Below are 20,269 nucleotides of genomic sequence, written 5' to 3' on the forward strand. Positions count from 1 at the left end.
GCTTTTAAGCTTGTTTTATTATATTCTAATTCTTTAGATATCCATATATAGTGCTTTCTGTTAACGTTCGGCTGTCTGGAACATTTGATTAAGATTTCACTTCTAGACATAGGATTTTTCTGTAACACATTTCATTCCTATATGGAACCACTTCAATTCTTAGAACTGAATTCTCCTATTTGTTTGTTAGAATACAGACATGTCTATCTTACTTCTTCTTGTCATTATATATCACTTCAAATGTAGAACTGGTAAATACAAAATCAAGTAAGTCTTCATGACATTGAAGAAACTTTTCACTATGTTAAATACTTTTTGGTTCTCTAAACCTGTTGTGGTAATTGTAGATCAAGGTCTTTGGCTACTAATTTTTGCTTATATAATTTTGTCTTCTCAGAAATAAAGTGAGGAATCAAAATATTACAGTAGTATTGTTCATCATAATGCTGAAATAACCATACTAGTTAACATAGTTGTTTTTAAATTTTGCAATATCATTGCATGGCTTCATCTTTTAAATTTCTGCAAGGTTTCAATATATCTATTTCTTCTTTTTTTGATAGGCAAATGAATAATTCTGGAAGGGTAAAACATGAGTCTACTAAATACATAAATGAATACAATGTATACTTTAGGAAAGTAGATTTTTAAACAAGGACATATTTTTAAATTTCTGCTTATGTTTAGGTCTATTACAATGGCTACCATGGAGACACCTCTGAAACATTTTTGGTGGGCAATGTGGACGAATGTGGTAAAAAGTTAGTGGAGGTTGCCAGGAGGTGTAGAGATGAAGCAATTGCAGCTTGCAGAGCAGGGGCTCCCTTCTCTGTAATTGGAAACACAATCAGGTAAGCCTTACATTGACAAGTAAAGGGAGGGTTGGCAAATGGTACAAAGGTTATTGGTGGCTTGGTATAAAGTTGATGACATGTTTTATGATTCAGAACCATCATTTCAGTCTGATATCAGTATGTGAACTGCCAGGCTGCAATATTGTTCCCTGAGTTGAAAAAAAAAAAAGATTTTATAAAAATGAATTATACCAGGGTCAGCAAAGAAACTTATAGAAGGAGCAAGCAATATTTACATGGCTGCTTTTGTTTTAGCTTGACATACTGGTCTATAGTTTCCCTTTATTCAAAATCACACCAAATATGGAAGGGAGTACCTAAGAAGGGGATGAGCATCTCAACCCTGGGGTTTTTAATAAGACAGGAGAAAAACTAAATTTTATAAAGGAATGAAGTGAAATGTATTTCTGTGATATGAAGATAATAAAGTGTTAGTTCAAGCAAGCCTTACCTTTCAAATTGGTAGATTAACAAATAGCCTGAAACGGTGATCTTCTGTTCTTTTTTTGTCTGGTTCATTTTTCCTGTAAACCGTTGTTTATTTTTCACAGAGTATTCTATCCTTACTTTTTGAATGTATGTGTATGTGTGTTTTCTGAATTTAAGACTTTTCTTTATAATCTGTTACCTACTTTTAGGTCTTTTTTCCCCCATAACTGTTTTGAAGTAGACATGCCGAATATATGTTTTCATTTTAAAGTAATGCATTCTGTTAAAGATGATCACATCAGTGCCCTTTAAAGTACTGTTCTCATTAATATGAACCATTGAATACTTCCCATTTGTCTAAAGGATGGAAGGCTTAGTCACCTTGAAAAGATGCTGCCTTTTTTTCTTCGTAAGCCTTCAAATACTTTAAGAAAAAAGCCAGTAAAATATCAGTTAAATGTATTTATGGCTTTAAAAATATTGTAACAGTGTCTGAATCAAACTTTAGTAAAATCTCTTTGGGTTATATCTGAGAAGCTTTTATTGAAGACTTTGAACAAAATTGTGTTTTTGACAGTTTTAAATTATAGGCTAACTAGCCTGGGAAAAAAGGATAGTGTCTCTCTGTTCTTTCATAGGAAATGTTGAATCAGACCCCTACTGGGAAAAGAAATTTAATGCATATCTCACTATCTTACTGTCCATGAATATAATAGAAATGAATTCAAAATGCAGTTTTATTTTTGCAAATGGGATGAGTCGATAGATGCACCTCATATTTTTGAACACCTAGGGTTCAACAAATTTACTGGTGGTGCTCTTGCATTTTAACAAAATTTATTCTTCAGTAGAAGGGGGCAGAGAACACTAGATTCTTATTCAAGCATTCTATCGAGCTCTGCATTCATGGCTGTGTCTAAAGGGCATGTCAGCCTTTGATTCTCTCTGAGAGGTAATTATCCTTTTCCTGTCACGGAACAACAAATGATAGCTAACTACAGAGGCACATTTGCAGTAGTCACATTCATCAACTGCAGAAAAAAAAATTCAATTTAATTGTGCAACACAGCTGCACATGGGCTTTTGAGCATTTCTGTTGTTCTCCCTGTCTCGCTATTCCTCCCTCCAGATCTATTTTTTAAACTTTTTTTCTGGTTATTTTTTCCCCTTTTTGTCTCTTCTTCCATTTTTACTCTCTGTACTTTCTTGTTAAAGTAATTTTCCTTTGTGGCTCTCATTCTTTTTCCCCCATTGAAGGCTATGAATGTAGAAAATTATCACAATTACTCATATAATTGAGCCTCTTTGTAGCAAGTGCAACTCCAGTAGCCTTTCTCCATCATGAAAATGGTTTCATTATAGGGTTTTTCATATTCTCTGACACCATCTACACAGAGGAACAGGCGTGCAGATGAGATGTGCTAGGAACAGGCTAGATCAGTAAGGTCACAGTAGGAATAATTAGCTCTGCTATGGAAAGAGCATCTAGGCCTTTTACTGCTACATAAATGTACTGTCCATGGCTTTTAGTCACAAAAAAAACTTACTAACAAATGGAGCTCCCGCCTACTACTTTGAAAAAAAGATTTGTATCAACACTACAATTTTCCATCATTAAGACTAATAACACAGAGCCTAGTATACATCAAGGGGAATAAAAAGAAAAATCTCACATTCAAGTGGCGGCTGGGTGCTGACCTTTGTTCCCTTTTTTTGTGTACGACTTAACTCTTTACAAAAAAGAGCCACACGCCACACCAACATGCAGGTGAACTCCAGCTAGTACTAGCAAAGCATAGCATTCAGTTGGAAAATTTGATAAATCTCCATGCAGGATAATGCATTTCATTACATATTCACTACATTAATTCTAGCTACATTAAAAAAAAAAGAAGAAGAAGAAGAAGAGTAGAATTGAAAGTGACATTGGATTTTAGCTATCTGGATACAAAGGTCAGTTTTCACAGAGTATGAATTTGCATGTACAAGCTTTTTTGAAAACCAGATCAGTCAGTCCCAACAACTGCACTTAAAAAAACTATGTGGAAAATAACAGACAATGAACTTTTTACTTGTACCCTAATACATTTCATTATTTAGATGGTTTATGTCTGCCGCTAGAAAGGAAACTGGCCCCGATTCTAACAAATATTTGTTCTGATGTGTTAAAGCAGTGTTTCTGGACACCTATTATCTTGCCTTTTCTTATTCTGGCAAAATCTTAGGGGAATAAGTAAACAAACCATATTTACCTTTAAGCCAAAAGTACTTGAAATCATTACAGACCAAAGGTTTACAAACATCTTTCAACTCGGTCTTGTTTATTTTAAGATATTCACCATCTTTTGCGTAGCCTCTCTCTACTGATACACTAGGAAAAGAACAAGCAACTTGTATTAGTATCATGTTATCAAAAACCTTGAGATCTCTACAGGAAATTTTGGAATTCTCCTCTGAAACCTAAAGAAGATAATGTCTTTGAGGAAGTATCAGCTAAAATGTTTTAATGGAAAGAGTTCTCTCTGGGCCCTTTTGCTTTTGTGAGGAATGTCTAGTAATCTTTAGGTCATAGTGTTACTAGACTCACTGTATCTCCATTTGCTTTAAAATATTTCTAAATCTGTATTTTTATAATTATCTCTAGATTATACAATCTGTACATATGAGTATATTGTGAATGTGTAGATTCATGCATCATGAATATGTGACAGTTCAATCAAAAATAATTTAAACTTGTAAATGTCATGATGAAAGTATCAATAAATGGTTTTTAATGTTTAATTCATAACTATATGTTTTGATATTAATTTGGAACAATATAAAGCAGATTTTTAAAAAATAATCTCTTTCTATTAGATTACGCACATTTAAACAATAAGTGGCTCAGGCAAAATAAGTCATTTTAATGTCATCTGTGATGGATTTTTCTTGACAGCTACTGTAAATTACAATTATACTGCTTCTCTCTGCACATGAAAGTAAGCATTGCAATAAATTATCTTTTATTTCAATCCATCATGTCTGCTTTTCAGAAACAGAAAACCTCAAATAAAAGTTCAGCACTATTGTAAGAAAAATACAGTAATTTGTGATCTGGTTTGAAACAAAAAAAATCTACTACTTTTTTGGAAAACAGTTGTTGGCTTTCAAAAATATTACTAATTGTACTTAAACATTCCTTTTCATTAGAAGGAATCCCTGGATTTGTGCATTTCTTCATTCATAACTACTGCCTAAAATAAATATCTAGAAAGAGTAAAGAAAAATTTCATAACTTATGAAATAACATGCCATTTGAGATCATTTATTAGAGATGTGACTATTTGGAGATTAGTGCTGTTTATAGGATTAATGTAAAATTGGCAATAAATCTATTTTCATGTGCATTTTTATTTCTTTATAACAGCATGTACGTAAACATAGTACTCCTCTGCCCTCTTGGGGAATGTATTTTTAGTCAAAAAACTAGTTGAAAAGTATTAAGAAATTTAATTTACCTAGGTGACATTTAAATTGAGTATAACTGCCTCATGAAAAGGAATTAAACTGAAGAAAATGGTCACAAGATGAAATTCCTTAAAAGAGGTATCTTTTTCATGTATAAACTGTAACTACAACATGAATTGTAATCAGACAGTATAATAGGAAAGTAAGTTCATAAACAACCTTTATGTATCCTCCTCTCCCTCTCCAAATATTCCATATAAAAGGCCTCAAATCACAAGTGTGCTTGGGTTCATGGGCAGATGTCACACTGTCTTAAAGGATTTTTAGTTAGAGAAAATCAGAAGATCTACTACCAGGAGAATTCTTTTCAGTAGGTTTCAGCAGAGCGAAGACAGATTTTATCCGTGAAATGTCCAGGGCAAGAAAACTCTTGTGCACAGAAAAGGGTTATGGCCTGTGGTGACTGGTGTTTGGGAGCACTTCGGTGCTTCTGCCTGCCCTGCTGTTTCCATTTTCCCCAGCATGCCAGTCAAGAGCTGCAGACATACTCCAACTCCCCATGCCACAGTTAGGGTTACCAGTACTTTCTTTCAAATTAGAGGAGTGAAATTTGCTACTACTGGTCACTTGGATTGTCTCTGTGAATTTGGACTTAAACCCTACAATCAGGTAAATAATCTTGTGCTCCCCATTTATTCCAAAATAATAGAAAGGGAATGCTTTTAAACAGTAATTAGGAATATTAATGAGATCCTATCTGACTTAGTTCCAGTAAGTGCTAAAAACCACCTACCAATCCAGAAGGAAAATACTCTGCAAAGCAAACAGGAGTGTATACTCAGCTCCTGAGAGTCAGGCATTAAGATGTGCTCAAGCAGGGAACTGGGGGAAATTTGGCCTGTTCTTTTCCTCTTTCCACCTGGCTGTGAAATCCTCTAACCTTTGCATCCATGACACACAGATTCTATGATACTCCTGGAGCCAGAAGTTCCAGCAGGACCCACGGAGTAAATTGTTGTAGGAGAATGCTCTTAGATATCTTTAGCCACCTAGTAATTGCACAGCTTCTTTTATGCAGAGGAACGAGAGGTATGATGGGGGGAGGGACCCTAAGTGTTTTTTCAGAGTGGGCTTTCTTCCTCTCCTCTCATCGGAAATTAAAATGAAGATTGCCATTGTAACACACATTTAAGATGTAGCCGTGATGCCTGCCAATCAGCCGGATCCTCTAAAAACAAAAAAAAAAGAACCTAGATTTTTTTTTTTAGAAGAGAAAATAGAATAGTTTATATTGAGTGTTCTTAGAATCATTGAGGTTTGTTGGGATTGAACTAACATAATTTATAGGTTTAGGGAGAAACTGTTCCTGTAAAAAAAAAAAAATCTAGATTATTATGTCCTATTTAATTATCTTTCTTCCACCCTGTATTCACTCTTCATCCTCAGTGTTTATTCAGAAACTGTGTGGCACAAATAAAAACACCTTGGGAAACACCAAATAGAAATACTTGCCCACCAAAGATCCACAGAAATAACCATAAAGTACAACGTAAGAGATAAAAACCTTGACTTACCGTTCCTGTCCTCAACATATGTATAGCTTACCTATTTCTGCACTAACAGTTACATCAAAATTAAATCTGAATAAGAGGCTGCCCATCTGCTGGTTATAGTGACATCCAGGTCTAAGTGAAGCTGTCTTACAAGTCTGGGGATGGTTAAAATTATTTAGAAAAATGTATAAACATGAATGGCCATAAAGATGCTGGCTGAAAGCCTGTGGGTTCATGTTAAACTAAACTTAGAGTCTGTTAGAGACTCTAGTTTGAGATCTAGAAACTTAGTTCTGTTAATAATTGAAATAGTAGTCCTGTAAATCCCAATCTAGTGTTAGGGTTAGGGGCATTTTGCCCTTTGTCCACATGAAAATATAAATTCTTAATAGTATATATGTTCTTGTTTGTCTGATGCTCCCCAAAATAAACATGTTAGCTGATTTCAAGGACTACTTTTCAATCTTGTAGATGAAGATTTTAGAATTGGAGTCTGTGTGCTTGGTTTCAGATGGAATGTAAAACATTTGCATGTAACTAATGTAGTGCATGCAATGTACTTCTCCACATACATGTAATGAAGTAACTAATGAAGCACTAAGAATTGGGAATCACAATACTAGCTTATCTTAAGCATCCTAGTGATTAAAAAGCATTCTTTATGAATTTTGTTAATGGTGCAGGTCTTGAATGGAACTCTCAAATGATCTCACGGTTTTGGAGTATTTCAAGAATATTGACAAAGTAGATTGAGCTTTTCGTGTGAGTGTGCCTGTTGGTAAAATGTGTAACACTTTGAAATAGAGCAGAAAAAGGGAACCATAGAAGTAGAAAGTCATATTTCTATATTGTAATTTGTTTTATATTTGGTTCCCCAATCAGGAGTAATTTATAGTCTTTTTGTGAAACCTCAAAAAAGCCAGGCAGGTTTTTATGACCTGCATTATATGCACATATATCCCGGTTATGTATGGCAATCACTATGTGTGTATACACACTCACTTGTTGTCTAAAAGTGGCTTTGTTTGAATGCTGTACAAAGGTAAATGACTCAAACGACTGTGTTGGATAGATATGTACCTTCTCTCTTCATATATCCAAAGACAGTGGTTGCAGGCAACAGCAAAAATTAAAATTATTACAGCATAATGAAAACACATGAATGTTATTATCTGACTCTAAATATTACTGACTTTTTCTTTTTCAGAGAATATTTTAAAGTGACTTTGTTTTATCTTAGTATGCCTGAAAAACTTATCTAATTTAATTAAATATTTTTTGGTCACTTTTAAAGCCACATAACTCATCAGAATGGTTTTCAAGTCTGTCCACATTTTGTGGGACATGGAATAGGATCTTACTTTCATGGACATCCAGAAATTTGGCATCATGGTAAGAAAGTTCATTTGGAGGCTGTTTCTTGATCAGAGATCAAGATGTGGCAGCTTTGACCCTGAAGCTCTTCCTCTGACTTTGAATCTGCATTATCAACCTTGTGTTTGTGTGTGTGTTTATGTGCAGGGGGCAGGGGAGGGGGGTCTGCTTAATTTTAACCGGGACATTACTGTGTTACTGGATTAGAGCCCAGCTGTTTCAATCCCAAAATAAGGTTTATTTTGCTCTCTGTCTTCTCCTGAAGGGTGCATGGCTGGAAGGCACAAGGGATATTTGTGTAGAAAAAGTTACTGAAAACAAAACGCCACTGCATCAGTGTCCCAGCAGCATGCACATATGACTGTTTCTGTTTTTCTTTTTCTACCCCCTTTTCTAGCTGCTGACTGTTGTGGTTAAACTTCATTACATCCTACACAGCGTTGACAGCTGATGTATTTAGCAGCATGTACTCCTTCGTGATTTCTAGATTATGCCCACCCTTGTCTTCCTTCCCCAGAATCTCTTGTTTTTCACTGCCTGGGTGTGCACCCTATAGTGAGAAGACAGGGGTGGGCCCAGAGGGGTGGGAGGATTTGGATTGAGGTAGGAGGCAGCTCAGTGGAGCACCCTCAAGGCAGGTCCACACCTGGACGGGGATCAAAGGAAAGTTGGTCCTGGGGCCTTGACCTGTGCCCCTATGGACTTGATTGGTCCATAGAAGGACTACTCTTTCGGACCCATGCCCTCGAGGATCGCTGGACACCCAGCAGGTCCAAACCCTCTTTGGACCAAAGAGCCCCCACCTAGGCAGCTCAAGAGGTTCAGGTGAGAGTGCAGAAACGGCTTGTCAGCCTTGTGCCCTACCTGGTGCCAATGTCTGGAGTGAAGCTATTTGAAGTCAGGCCCCTGCTCCCCACAACCTGCACCAAAGGAGGCTTCCCTCCTTTGCATCCTTCCCCAGGACTTCTTTGAGTGAGGGGTGTGGGCAAGGCCCAGGACCCAGTAGTAGGCTGGGAGACCTAGTAGCCTGGGGGACAGGGAGAGGGGGCGAGGAAGCCTGACGTGTCTGAAACAACCAGGCTGCCCCTGCCAGGCCTTGGAAAACTCTTCTGGGGGAGTCTTGACCCAGAGCACAGATAATGCAAAGACTCAGGCCCAGTAGCCCCGTGTTTAACTCCTGGTCACTATCCAGGACTCCAGAAATCTCCACCCTTCCTTCTCTAAAAGAAGAGAAATAAAACGACCAAGTTTTTTAAAGGGGCCTGACCCCTGTAATCTGTTTTTTTTTTCTGTCCTCCCCATTTCCTATTCTCACCCCCCATGTTTTTTGTTTTGCAGCAAACGACAGTGATCTACCCATGGAGGAGGGCATGGCATTCACTATAGGTAAATTGAGCTCCTCTTCCGAGTGAGTGCGTAGCTCCTGGTGGAAGCTTTTGCCACTGGCCTAGGCCCGGCAGTCCGGTGAAGGACCAATAAAGCCAATCAGTGTAATGAAATAATTCGGATGCACTGGAAATCTGATTAAATAATATCCTCAAGCCCCATCTTCCTAAATCAGATACTTACCGACACATTTAGGAGAAGGCAGCCATCCAACCTCTAATTCTGTTACCAGCATAATGTGGTGTTGGGTTTTTTGTTTTGTTTTGTTTTTTCATTAACACCCAGTAACTAGACACGATTATGTCCCTTGCTCCCTGTCAGCAAGTGGCATGTGCTCTCTGGTGGCCCGTTCCTGGCTGATCCTGTGATTGGTATCACCACCAAATTCCAGTCACCTAGGGCCGTAAAGACATCCTGTTTCTGACTGTGGGACTTAATGGAGAAGCAATTAGAGTGAAATAAGAAAATTGTTATTTGCTGATGAATGAACATCTCGAGCATGTTTTTAAAATTTAAATATTTTTTTAAAAATTGGTATTTATAAGAGGGACTGGTGTTTGGGTGGTTATTATCCACGGGGTCCTAATTAAAGCTTGATTAAAATGCCCTTCTTTCTCTAAAAAATTACGAACTAGGCAACTTCATACATTTTGAATGGCGCAGTGTTTCCTCTTCCAACTGTTTAGTTTGTAGTATACTATGTAAGCAACATCAATTATCAACCCTTGCAAGATGACAACATGAGCCTGTGGGGGAAGCACTTGAGGGGAGGGAGGAGAAACTTCTCTTTTTTAATAATCAGCCGGAAACAATGTTTAACAAGAATCTGATGAGGTCACTGCAGTAAATATTTTTCCTCTTACAGAGCCAATCATCACGGAGGGATCCCCTGAATTTAAAGTCCTGGAGGATGCATGGACTGTGGTCTCCCTAGACAATCAAAGGTGTTTGCTTTCTGCTCTGTTGCTTTTAAATTGTATGGGAAAGGAAGATTGGTCCGACGGCGCGCTTGTGGCCCGGCCGGAGCTTGCGTGCGCGTTCTGACGGCTGGGTGCTGTGTTACAGGTCGGCGCAGTTCGAGCACACGGTTCTGATCACGTCGAGGGGCGCGCAGATCCTGACCAAACTACCCCATGAGGCCTGAGGAGCCGCCCGAAGGTCGCGGTGACCTGGTGCCTTTTTAAATAAATTGCTGAAATTTGGCTGGAGAACTTTTAGAAGAAACAGGGAAATGACCGGTGGTGCGGTAACCTGCGTGGCTCCTGATAGCGTTTGGAAGAACGCGGGGGAGACTGAAGAGCAACTGGGAACTCGGATCTGAAGCCCTGCTGGGGTCGCGCGGCTTTGGAAAAACAAATCCTGGCCCTGGACTCGGTTTCCCAGCGCGGTCAACGCATCTGGAGGGGACTGGAGGAAACCCCCTTGTTGGAAGAGATTCCAAGAGAAGCACGGTTTTCTCTTTCCCTTGCCCTGACTGTTGGAGTAAAAAACCTCTTAAATCCATTGTATCAGAGGTCCTTACCTCTCTGACAGTTACAGTGATCTTTGTATCTGAACTTTGCACGTCTGCCGAAAAATCCGAACCTGTTGACTGGGATTTTTAAGAATCCGTTTCTCCCTTTTGTGTATTCCATATTGGCCGGCCCCAAGGATGCTCGCAGAAGCCAGCCCCCAACCCCAGCCCTTCCGTATCTTTCCCCTCCATCGCGGCTTTGCGATGAAAGATTAGCCCGCGAACAGAGGCATTGATTACAAACATGTCCTTGGCAGTGGACTCTGGGCCTGGCCATTCTTCAGGTTTCTGTCAATCCAGAAACGCGACTTTCCTGGACCCCTGCGGCTCTTCCTCCCCCGCCCACATCCAGCCCTCCAAGGCCAGTCCAGAGGTGAAGTTTGAGGCCCTCCCCCCACCCACCCCACACGCACGCACGCACGCTAGACCGTTTGCTGCACTAGGAATTCGAGCTTGGGCCCCACTCGCCCAGGTGTGAACAGTGGCTGATTAGTGGGCGGTCTAGTCTCTAAAATGACCCCTCCCCAGACTGGCCCTTCTCGCATCGGGACCCGCGCTTGCACGCTGCAGGAGCCGCAAACGTCAGCTGTTCTGGAAACCGAGAGGGTCCCAGAGAGAGGAGATACGGGCGCATTTGAGAGCAAGGGCCTACTTGGCCGGGACTGAAGCTTGCGAGTTGAGCTCCAGTTCGGCCGGCAGTTCCATCCCGCTTCAGGAACAGGAATCCAAGGGCCCACGCTCTGTCTGCCAAGGGCCATTCCTGCCCGGAGCACCCTCCTTTCCCTTGCGCTTGCTCTCCGGTACCTGTTCCTCACCTGAGCTCAAGGGCAGGGAGAGGCCGGGCCTCTGGCAGTCCACGAAGGAAGCCGTCTGCCTTCGGTTATGATTTTAGGAACAAGTCCAACGAGGGTGTTCAAGCAGTTAATGGTTGTGCTAACTCTTGTTTCTACTGAAGCGGGTTTTGCAAAGCTGACATCCCTTAAAGATAACTTGGGCTTTCGGAAGCGGCAAGGAAATGGCACCTGTAGTTGCCAGGACAGGTGGTGTCCTCGGCCAGGACTAAGAGCCAGCTCATCTTTGTAACATTCATAATACGGGAAACTGAGGACCAGGTGGCTCGGAAAAGAGATGAGTTCCAGCTTTTACCTAACACAGGGTTCTCTCGTCGTCCCCCAACCCCTCCAGCTCGGCTTCTTTGTGTCCAGGGTTGTAGATTTTTGGATAGAGGTGTTTCTGATTCTAGTGAGTCTGAGAACTGGAAAAGACCAAGGAGGGGTTGATGATTTACAAGGTCCATAGAAAAACTTTTTGTGTGGTCGGAAGTTGGCCAAGCAGAGGCCCACAGCCTGATGCTACTGCCCCCCACCCCCCCAAAGATCTGAATTCCCTAAAGATCAAGAGGGTTCAGCTGGCCTTGGGAGATGTTTGCTGGAGAATGACTTCAGTTTTCTCCTAAGGCAATCAGATTGCAACCATTAGCATTGTATCTTATCTGCAAATCAGTTTACTCCGAGGTTCCCCAAGGATAGTTTTATTAGGACCACAGGACTTTACTAACCACTGAGGTAACACGCTGCTTGTGCAGCAATTATTTTGAGGTGGAGGTATTTATGGGACAAGTTTATAATTCCATTTATTAAAGGGACTAACCTAAAGTGTGTGGGTGTATATATATATGTGTGTATGTGTGTACCAACACTCAGCAGCTCCCTAAAGAACTCCCTTTAACATGCTTTGAAGTTGAGATTAGGAAGTAGATTTAAAAATACCTCGTCCACGCCTTCCTGTCCCTCTTCCAGCTGAACTGGCCGAAAACCTCACCCAGAGCCACTGGGATTCCAGCCAAGAGTGGCTGCGGCTAACACCACCAGGACCTCCTGGTCCTGAGGTGACTCCAGTAGGCTCCATGAGGAATCCCGGACCCTCAGGACAAATGGGAGAGTTTTGTTTTCTCTCAGAGTGAGGGCAGGCAACAATTTAAGCAAACCGGCATTCAGAACAGGTGTCACCTTAGCAGTAGGGGGTGGGAGGGATCCACTCCAAGTTCACTGAGTGCAGCTAAGATCCCACATTGAGAAACCAGCTACCGCCAGCGGCTCGGCATCAGAGGGCCCGCGCTCAGTGCTCCTCCCTAGACCTTTCTGAGCTAAGAAATAATTCCGGAGTGTAGCCATCTCTTGCTCACACACAACCCGCTTCTAAATTAAGCAAGGCTCTGAAACAGTATCCCGAGGGGCTCATGCCGGACTTTTGTTCCAAGAAGGCAACCAGGTCCCCTGTGCTACCGCAAAAGTCTTTGATCCTTTTCCAGCTGTGGACACAGAGCACCCAAGAGACTGTCGCGATGTGCGGCCGTCTCTCCCCTTCCCCCACCTTGCAAGTCTCTGGAATACACTGTCCCTAGGCGGCCCGGCCGTCGGGTTTCCTCACGCCTTGCCCTGAGCTCCGGGAATTACCAATTCCGCTTTCCCCGGTCCCAACCCCGACCCCGCGCCCGCCGCGGCGATCACTTACTTGGGCAAGGCCCTCAGGGCACGCGCGAGAGACCTGGGGCCCGGCAGTATCCGAGCGACTGTGCTGGGCACACGGCGTGGCACTCCATACCCTAAAACAGGCACTAGGAAGGAGCAATTAAAACCACAAGTGCGACACAGAAATCAGGACGAGCCGAGCGGCTCCCGGAGTTGCCTGGTGGCGGAATCATTAGCTGGCTGTTGCTACAAAGCCTCACCGTGTGGTTCGGTGATTAAGAAAAAAAAAATCTTTTAAACGTTGGCAAACCCGTTATTGGTTTGGCGTATTGGGTTTTTTTTGCTTTTGCTTTTCTTTTTGCTCCAACCACTCTGCCTGAAATATTTCTGCCCCCAGCATTGTGCCCTTAAACCAAAGGAGAGGAATTCTGCGGGCAGCAGCAGCTGGTACAGAAGTTAAAAAAAAAGAGAAACCCCCTCTACTAATATCTGTAACGACAGCACCGATGTAATTTGTTTTGAATGTTCATTTTTATTGGTGTTCCCTCTGCCAAAATGTGCTTGATTACAGAGGTTTGTCCTGTGATCATTGCACACTCCAGACAGGGGAAGGTGCAGCGATGAAGGTTCAGCTCAGGCCAGATCAAATCCCGGGCTGTTTAACGCTGAAAGGCTGCATGTTGCTATTAGTGTTAAATATATGGCTAATTATGCGTATGAAAATTAAACATCAGTGTTATGCTAATGGGGCGCCTTCAGCTGCGGATCTGAGCACTTGAGACTACCATTTAATCAAATGAATCAGTAACTAATACATCTGCACGTGTGAACTTTCACAAGATCATTTCCCCGTTCCCGTCACACCGCTAAATTATGAAAGAAATAATTATCAACACTTTCTAATTACCTAACAAAGTAATTTGGGATTCACCGTGGGGCTGGCGGGATGGGGAACCAACATCCACTTACAGCCAGGGTGGTGTACGCCACACCGCGAGGGACTGGCTGTATTGGTAGTAGTGGCGATGGGGTGGGGGCTCTTGTGCACTTTTTTGTACCTAGCACCCCAGAAGACAGAAGGAGCAGCGGCAGATCTTGCCTCCACTAGCCCTGCCCCCTAGGCCTGGTGGCGCGCGCTTTGGCCACTGGAGGTGAGGAAGATCCTGGGTGGCAACGAGAGACGTCTACACATAGATAAGGGAGCCTACCACAGGCCTGGGTTTGCTGCGGGTTTCGGTGTCCCCCAGGGACTCCTAAACTCTGGAAGTCGCGCTAGACCTCAGGAGGCCGGAAAATGACCACCTGGCGTCGGTGGCTCCAGCAGATCTGAGCCCCTAGGCCCCCTGGGCTCCACGCTGAGCCGCGCTCTCGGGGCGAGTGAGCCCGGGGCTCTCCGCGCATGGGGAGTGGAGAAGGGAGGGGGAGGAGGAGGAAGGCTGGGAGGGAAAGAGGATGTGTGTGTTGGGGGAGGGGGCGGTGCAGCCGCCTTTCCTGGGAGGAGAAGCGCGGGTTCCTGGCTCTCCACGCGCACTGCTTTAATCAGACCCGTGCAGCCTCGAGCTGGAGTGGCCAGCTGGGCCTGGAGCAATGCGAGCGGGCCCCAGGGAGCGACAGCGGCGTTGGCGCAGCGGCCGAGTGAGTGAGTTCGCAGGGAGGGCCCCTAAGCCCCGACTCCAGGGATGCGGCAGAGCGTACCGGGGAGGCGCGGCCGGATAGGCGCTGCGCTAGGCACAAGGCTCTTAGGAGAACCTCTGTCTGTTGGCCGCCTCGGGCGCCCCCAGTGCGCGACTCCGCGCTCCAGAGGCAGAGGTCAGTCTCCTCCTGAGCCGCCCTAGCTCTGCGCCGAACTGAGTGGCAGCGACGAGAAGCGGTCCCGGGTGTCCGGTGTTAGGGACCGCTGAAGGGTGGGGACAGTGGTAGGGGGGCGGCGGCGCGGAGCCGCTGGTTGGTTCCTGGGGAGGAAAGCGCGCGAGGGAGGCGGGAGGCCGATGAGCCGCGGGCCGCAGGGGCCCCGGCGCAGACGCCGCAGCCCATTGTGCTTCCTGCCCGGCGCGCTCTGTTGCAGAGGAGCCCCGGCCGGGAAGTGTGGATGCGTCTTACCCGAGGCCGGGCCGCCTCGCCCGCTCTAGTCCAGCGGAGCCCGAGCGCCTCGGACCAATCCCCAGTGATTATGCAAGACAGCGGACCAATCAGCTCCGCCAGCTCATGAATATTTATGACCTTCGCTGAGTCAAAGCTTTGAACCGAGTTTGGGGAGCTCAGCAGCATCATGCTTAGACTTTTCAAAGAGACAAACTCCATTTTCTTATGAATGGAAAGTGAAAACCCCTGTTCCGCTTAAATTGGGTTCCTTCCTGTCCTGAGAAACATAGAGACCCCCAAAAGGGAAGCAGAGGAGAGAAAGTCCCACACCCAGACCCCGCGAGAAGAGATGACCATGACCACCATGCCAGAAAGTCTCAACAGCCCCGTGTCGGGCAAGGCGGTGTTTATGGAGTTTGGGCCGCCCAACCAGCAAATGTCTCCTTCTCCCATGTCCCACGGGCACTACTCCATGCACTGTTTACACTCGGCGGGCCATTCGCAGCCCGACGGCGCCTACAGCTCAGCCTCGTCCTTCTCCCGACCGCTGGGCTACCCCTACGTCAACTCGGTCAGCAGCCACGCATCCAGCCCCTACATCAGTTCGGTGCAGTCCTACCCGGGCAGCGCCAGCCTCGCCCAGAGCCGCCTGGAGGACCCAGGTACGTGCGCTTGCCAGGGAGAGGGAGAGGAGGAGGTACAAGGGAGAGAGGGAAAGAAGGAGCGGGGGAGAAGAGGAGAGGGAGAGAGAGAGAAAGAGAAGAGAGGAGAGCGAGGTGGGGTGGGGGTGGGGAGGGCGCGGGAGCAGTGGAGGTTTCGAATATCAATCTATAGATCCTTGTCACAGCAAATAAATTTTTTTAAAAATTCCCTCAATTTGCAACTATCCAGCCAAGGATAAATCCCAGAGCGTCTCCTGGCACTGGCTGGGCCTCTGGGCGGCTCGGTGTGCAGAGCACACAATGCCCCGCTGGAAAACAGAAACCCACATGTGCACGTATTAGTCTCGGTAATTATTTATTGCGTAGCGCTATAAACAATGTATGCAATTAAGGGTAATTAAACCTCAACTACCGCCTGCAAAAATAGCAAACTTTCCCTGCAAAGGCAGGAGCTGAGCTCCTGGGAACGGCTCTATCCCTCCTGCAGCGTCCCGGGACAGGCCCTCGGATTTTGGGGGACCCTTCCCTGGCTTTCAGAGTTTCTTGAACGTTCTCTCCCTGGTGCTGCCTCCGCCACCCTTCGGTAGCCACTCGCTCTCGGCTGTTCGCACTAAAGGCGGCCCCTCGTATTAACAACGGGCCCTACTTCTGCTGTCCCTCCAGGGGCGGACTCGGAGAAGAGCACGGTGGTGGAAGGCGGTGAAGTGCGCTTCAATGGCAAGGGAAAAAAGATCCGTAAACCCAGGACGATTTATTCCAGTTTGCAGTTGCAGGCTTTGAACCGGAGGTTCCAGCAAACTCAGTACCTAGCTCTGCCGGAGAGGGCGGAGCTCGCGGCCTCTTTGGGACTCACACAGACTCAGGTACCTCGCCGCTGCCGCTCCGTTCTGCCACGCAGGCTTTCCGCGGCCGGCCTGCGCCCGGGTCTTCATTTGTTGCTCGCTGGGACTCAGGGTCGGGGTGTCACTGTGTGTATGTGTTTGTGTCCACCCCTGGCTCTCAGCGTGTCTCCTTCCTCCCTCATTCCCTCTGCCCTAGCTCTGTCACTGCTCTCGGTATCCCGAGCTGCCTGCCGTCCGGCCCTCTGTCCCTGGACAATCTGATTAGGGCGCAGGAAGGATTTCCCCAGACGATTTGTTTGGGAACTCAGAGGTCACACGTGCCTAAACAACTGGAACAATAGACTCCGGGCTTAATCCCTCCTTTGCCTTTAAATTGTGTGACTAATCACTCGGGGCCTGGGTCCGCGCCTCAGCCTCCCTCCTCCTCCTCCTTCTTACCGGTTGGGGGTGGGGGGAGATCCTTTCCTCCGCCCTCTCACCTCTCAAGTCCCAGACCTTAGAGAAGAAACGGGACCTTCCTTCCCGGCTTTCTGTAAGACTCCGGGGAGCCCGTGAGCGTTCCTGACGGCGGCGGGCGCGGGTTTCCGACGTCCGGTCCGGGATTTGGAGCAGAGCTGGAGAAAGCAAACAGACACTAGTGCAAGAATGGTTTTGAATCCAAAGAGAAGTTCAGCAAAACCTTGAGGCCTCCTTAGTCCGTCCCAACTCAAGGGCAGAAAAGATGGCGCATAGAAAAGTTGGGTCGCGTTGCAAATAAATTTCCTCCACTCCTTCCTAGGTTTTCGATTCTTTTTATTGATGTTGATATTGGAATTGCTGGCTCGGTGTTATGCAGGCGCTGTATCTTCCGCAGGCGGTAGCCACGGTCGGACTGAGCCCCTGGCAGGCTAAGGCCTGGATCCCGGTTCTCCCCTCATCACAACTCCTCCCTGGCTCTCTGAGAGCTGCCCCCGTGGGCTGACGGCGGCGGGAGGTTCGGCCTTCGAGCCTTTGGCTCTTATGGGGGAAGGGAGGAAGGAGGGATGTCTCTGCTTCTCTGGCAGGGAGCTGCCAGCTGGCGCAGGGTTGGGAGGTCCTATCTCTGCTGTTCTGCGGTCCCTTTTTTCCTCCCTGTGACCTAGGTAGGCTCAGTGGTCCCAGCCTGAGTCACGTTGTTGTCCGCTCTTGCAGGTCAAGATCTGGTTCCAAAACAAGCGATCCAAGTTCAAGAAGCTGATGAAGCAGGGTGGGGCGGCTCTGGAGGGTAGTGCGTTGGCCAACGGTCGGGCCCTGTCTGCTGGCTCCCCACCCGTGCCGCCCGGCTGGAACCCTAACTCTTCATCCGGGAAGGGCTCAGGAGGAAACGCGGGCTCCTATATCCCCAGCTACACATCGTGGTACCCTTCAGCGCACCAAGAAGCTATGCAGCAACCCCAACTTATGTGAGGTTGCCCGCCCGTCTCCTTCTTGTCTCCCCGGCCCAGGTCCCTCCCGCCTCCAGGTCCATCCATCCCGTCCGGAAAAGAAGGACCCAGAGGGAAGAAGGAACAGTGGAGGCGGGACGCCCTCCATCTCCTCGGAGCCCCGCGAGGTCCGGCCCAGCAACTTCCCGGCATCCGCGCTCTAGCCTGAACCCTGGCCTGGGCCGAGCAGTGGCAGCAGAGAGTGGCCTCGGAGGGAAGCCACTGCCACCTGAGACAGCCCAAGCAGCAAGATAAACCCGCTCCACCCGACCCGCCGACCTTCAGCTTTGTGGGACTATCAGGAAAAAACAAAACAAAAACAAAATGTAGAAAAAGCAAAAGCTCTTTTCTGTCCTGTCAGTCTCCTGTCTCCTTTTGCTCTGTCTGTGCGCTGGTAAAGTCCAGGTCCTCATCCGTCCGCTGTCCTCATTCTGCGGCCTCAGCAAAAAGCCACAAGGTCTGAGCGGCCCGGGTCCTGCCGGGCTGACCATCTCCGGATCCTGGGACACTCTGCCTGACCATCTGTGTAGCTGGTGTGGGAATCTGGGGGCATTGGAGGGAGGGGGTTTTATTTATTGAGAAATGGACTTCGCCTGAGGCTGTTTGCCAATTCAGGGTTCTGCTGGGCGCAAGGAACGCACTGTTCAAACGCACTGTTTACTTTAAGCGCACGGGGAGAAACGAATAAGGAGGACGTGGTGATTTTTAATTTATACAGTAACTTTTGTACTTCTCTGGTATGGAGAGTTTGGAGCCGAATGATTTGCATTTTTTACATGTCCGACATTATTTAATAAATAATTTTTAAAAGAAAAGAACGATAAATGAAGCCAACATGATTTTCTCATTTCGGGAGGAACTCTGTTGCTTCGCCTGGACAAGAAGGAAAATGCTGATTTCCTCCTTGGGTAGAAAGAGGGAGCGAGGGCAAATGGGGAGTAGAGAGAAAACAGGCGAGAACAAGCACTCTAATTCCAGTGGGCTTTAAAATAAGACAAAATCAGCTTTACAACAATCCCTAGAGGCTCGACCACAGAATAATGCCAGTCACCACCCTGAACGCACAATCTCCAGTGCAGGATCTAATGACTGTACATATTATTGTTATTATTATTATTGTTATTATTGTTGTTCTGTAAACATGTTGCACAAGCTTAGCCTTTTTGCGTTCTGTTGTGTGTGGCTGTAAAACCCCATGCTTTGTGAAATGAGAATCTTGACATTTTTCTTGTGAAATTTGGAAAATGTGATCAATTGAAATCAACTGTGTTTTGTGTTCTCTATGTCAAAGTTTAGTTTTATATTGAGAATGTTAACTTATTGCTTTGTATCTTGGGAAAAAAACTTTGTAAATAAGTTATAAAGTTTCTTTGAGACAGTAAAATTATGATTTCTTGAAAGAACTGCTCTCTTGTGCTGTGTGAGGCTGTGCCAGGGGGCCAGGCCAGGTTCCCGCCTCTGGAGACAGTTCATACAGGGTCAGCGACTTATCAACTTATCGGTGATAGAATGGAGACCCTGTACCCCAGAAACACCAGGGTATCGTCAGAGGCCTGTGAGGTGCCCCATTGGGCTTTTTCTTCCTGCCTTGCTCCATTGACCCCCAAGGTGTCTGATTCCTACCTGAATTGGAAGGGTAAGGAGAGAATGCCTGGCGAGGGTTCCCCAGGAAGGGGGCTCAGGAACAGGTGCATCAGGGCAGGGCTGACGCTCAGGAACCAAAAGGATGTTGAAGACCGGCTGAGAGGAGATGAAGTCAGAGTTCAAAGTCAGCCGGCCAGGACGATTTCAGTTTTTCCCACACCCAGCCAGCTCTTGAGAGGCCGGGAGGTTGGGAGGCTGAGAGGCCTGAAAGCAGAGACACTGCTTTGCCTCTAGCCTTCCTCCGGATCAGGCCTCCCTGCTTTTGCATGCCCGGAGGCGCTGGATTCCGTCGCGGAAAAGACGCAGCCAGACGCCAAGCAGGGGCCCGGAAAGACACGTCTGTCAGACTGCCCCTCTATCAATCAGTGCGCTCCAGGGGACAGGGCACAGTCCCAGGCAGCCACCCTGGGAGCTCCACAGTGAGAAAGGCAGGTTCCTGCCTAATGATCCGGGGCCTTTCTCTGCACCTCACAGAAATGGAGGTGCTAAGGAAAGGGTGGCTGACACTTTGGAACCCCAAAATCTGACCAAAGTCAAGCACACCACTCCCACCTCATCCCAGTCCGAAAG

The 20,269-nt window shown here is 46.1% G+C and overlaps 2 protein-coding genes across 10 annotated transcripts in view, besides 11 other annotated features; both read left to right on the forward strand.

Moving 5' to 3' along the window:
• The window catches only part of METAP1D (methionyl aminopeptidase type 1D, mitochondrial), an 82,478-nt gene extending 70,267 nt beyond the window's left edge, over positions 1–12,211 (forward strand). For 7 of the 8 annotated variants that reach the window (NR_136273.2, NR_136276.2, NM_001322279.2 and 4 more), the window contains 5 exons: positions 688–851; positions 7,578–7,675; positions 8,996–9,043; positions 9,909–9,987; positions 10,109–12,211. Coding sequence is in view for 6 of the 8 variants with exons in the window: in NM_001322279.2 (NP_001309208.1) it covers positions 688–851; positions 7,578–7,675; positions 8,996–9,043; positions 9,909–9,987; positions 10,109–10,187 (468 nt within the window). In the remaining 2 variants the exon portion in view is untranslated. Of the gene's footprint in view, positions 1–687; positions 852–3,157; positions 4,069–7,577; positions 7,676–8,995; positions 9,044–9,908; positions 9,988–10,108 lie in introns of those variants that run through there. The other variant, XM_047443871.1, reaches the window with a different exon arrangement.
• Positions 1,572–3,302: an enhancer, noted in NCBI's record as "VISTA enhancer hs553". NCBI's record gives its function as "enhancer in: forebrain[7/8] | cranial nerve[4/8]" and the evidence as "EXISTENCE:transgenic organism evidence [ECO:0001131][PMID:17130149]".
• Positions 10,113–10,641: an enhancer, noted in NCBI's record as "H3K4me1 hESC enhancer chr2:172945060-172945588 (GRCh37/hg19 assembly coordinates)". NCBI's record gives its function as "activates a minimal SCP1, AML or CMV promoter by ChIP-STARR-seq in naive H9 embryonic stem cells {active_cell/tissue: H9 hESC(naive)}" and the evidence as "EXISTENCE:reporter gene assay evidence [ECO:0000049][PMID:30033119]".
• Positions 10,642–11,171: an enhancer, noted in NCBI's record as "H3K4me1 hESC enhancer chr2:172945589-172946118 (GRCh37/hg19 assembly coordinates)". NCBI's record gives its function as "activates a minimal SCP1, AML or CMV promoter by ChIP-STARR-seq in naive H9 embryonic stem cells {active_cell/tissue: H9 hESC(naive)}" and the evidence as "EXISTENCE:reporter gene assay evidence [ECO:0000049][PMID:30033119]".
• Positions 13,708–14,321: an enhancer, noted in NCBI's record as "H3K27ac-H3K4me1 hESC enhancer chr2:172948655-172949268 (GRCh37/hg19 assembly coordinates)". NCBI's record gives its function as "activates a minimal SCP1, AML or CMV promoter by ChIP-STARR-seq in primed H9 embryonic stem cells {active_cell/tissue: H9 hESC(primed)}" and the evidence as "EXISTENCE:reporter gene assay evidence [ECO:0000049][PMID:30033119]".
• Positions 14,322–14,933: an enhancer, noted in NCBI's record as "H3K27ac-H3K4me1 hESC enhancer chr2:172949269-172949880 (GRCh37/hg19 assembly coordinates)". NCBI's record gives its function as "activates a minimal SCP1, AML or CMV promoter by ChIP-STARR-seq in naive H9 embryonic stem cells {active_cell/tissue: H9 hESC(naive)}" and the evidence as "EXISTENCE:reporter gene assay evidence [ECO:0000049][PMID:30033119]".
• Positions 14,934–15,547: an enhancer, noted in NCBI's record as "H3K27ac-H3K4me1 hESC enhancer chr2:172949881-172950494 (GRCh37/hg19 assembly coordinates)". NCBI's record gives its function as "activates a minimal SCP1, AML or CMV promoter by ChIP-STARR-seq in naive and primed H9 embryonic stem cells {active_cell/tissue: H9 hESC(naive and primed)}" and the evidence as "EXISTENCE:reporter gene assay evidence [ECO:0000049][PMID:30033119]".
• Positions 15,007–15,116: a silencer, noted in NCBI's record as "silent region_12107". NCBI's record gives its function as "represses an Ori minimal core promoter by ATAC-STARR-seq in GM12878 lymphoblastoid cells {active_cell/tissue: GM12878}" and the evidence as "EXISTENCE:reporter gene assay evidence [ECO:0000049][PMID:35858748]".
• DLX1 (distal-less homeobox 1) lies at positions 15,288–19,455 on the forward strand. 2 transcript variants are annotated; one of them, NM_178120.5, is made up of 3 exons: positions 15,288–15,771; positions 16,435–16,634; positions 17,784–19,455. In NM_178120.5, exons 1-3 carry the CDS (start codon positions 15,459–15,461, stop codon positions 18,036–18,038), a joined length of 768 nt encoding a protein of 255 aa, NP_835221.2. In that variant the 5' UTR covers positions 15,288–15,458; the 3' UTR covers positions 18,039–19,455. The 2 variants fall into 2 exon arrangements, with proteins under 2 accessions (NP_835221.2, NP_001033582.1); NM_001038493.2 differs by lacking the exon at positions 16,435–16,634.
• Positions 15,397–15,516: an enhancer, noted in NCBI's record as "active region_16762". NCBI's record gives its function as "activates an Ori minimal core promoter by ATAC-STARR-seq in GM12878 lymphoblastoid cells {active_cell/tissue: GM12878}" and the evidence as "EXISTENCE:reporter gene assay evidence [ECO:0000049][PMID:35858748]".
• Positions 15,548–16,159: an enhancer, noted in NCBI's record as "H3K4me1 hESC enhancer chr2:172950495-172951106 (GRCh37/hg19 assembly coordinates)". NCBI's record gives its function as "activates a minimal SCP1, AML or CMV promoter by ChIP-STARR-seq in primed H9 embryonic stem cells {active_cell/tissue: H9 hESC(primed)}" and the evidence as "EXISTENCE:reporter gene assay evidence [ECO:0000049][PMID:30033119]".
• Positions 16,774–17,385: an enhancer, noted in NCBI's record as "H3K4me1 hESC enhancer chr2:172951721-172952332 (GRCh37/hg19 assembly coordinates)". NCBI's record gives its function as "activates a minimal SCP1, AML or CMV promoter by ChIP-STARR-seq in primed H9 embryonic stem cells {active_cell/tissue: H9 hESC(primed)}" and the evidence as "EXISTENCE:reporter gene assay evidence [ECO:0000049][PMID:30033119]".
• Positions 17,999–18,610: an enhancer, noted in NCBI's record as "H3K4me1 hESC enhancer chr2:172952946-172953557 (GRCh37/hg19 assembly coordinates)". NCBI's record gives its function as "activates a minimal SCP1, AML or CMV promoter by ChIP-STARR-seq in naive H9 embryonic stem cells {active_cell/tissue: H9 hESC(naive)}" and the evidence as "EXISTENCE:reporter gene assay evidence [ECO:0000049][PMID:30033119]".

This window comes from Homo sapiens, chromosome 2 (genome assembly GCF_000001405.40).
Source record: "Homo sapiens chromosome 2, GRCh38.p14 Primary Assembly".
NCBI lineage: Eukaryota > Metazoa > Chordata > Mammalia > Primates > Hominidae > Homo > Homo sapiens.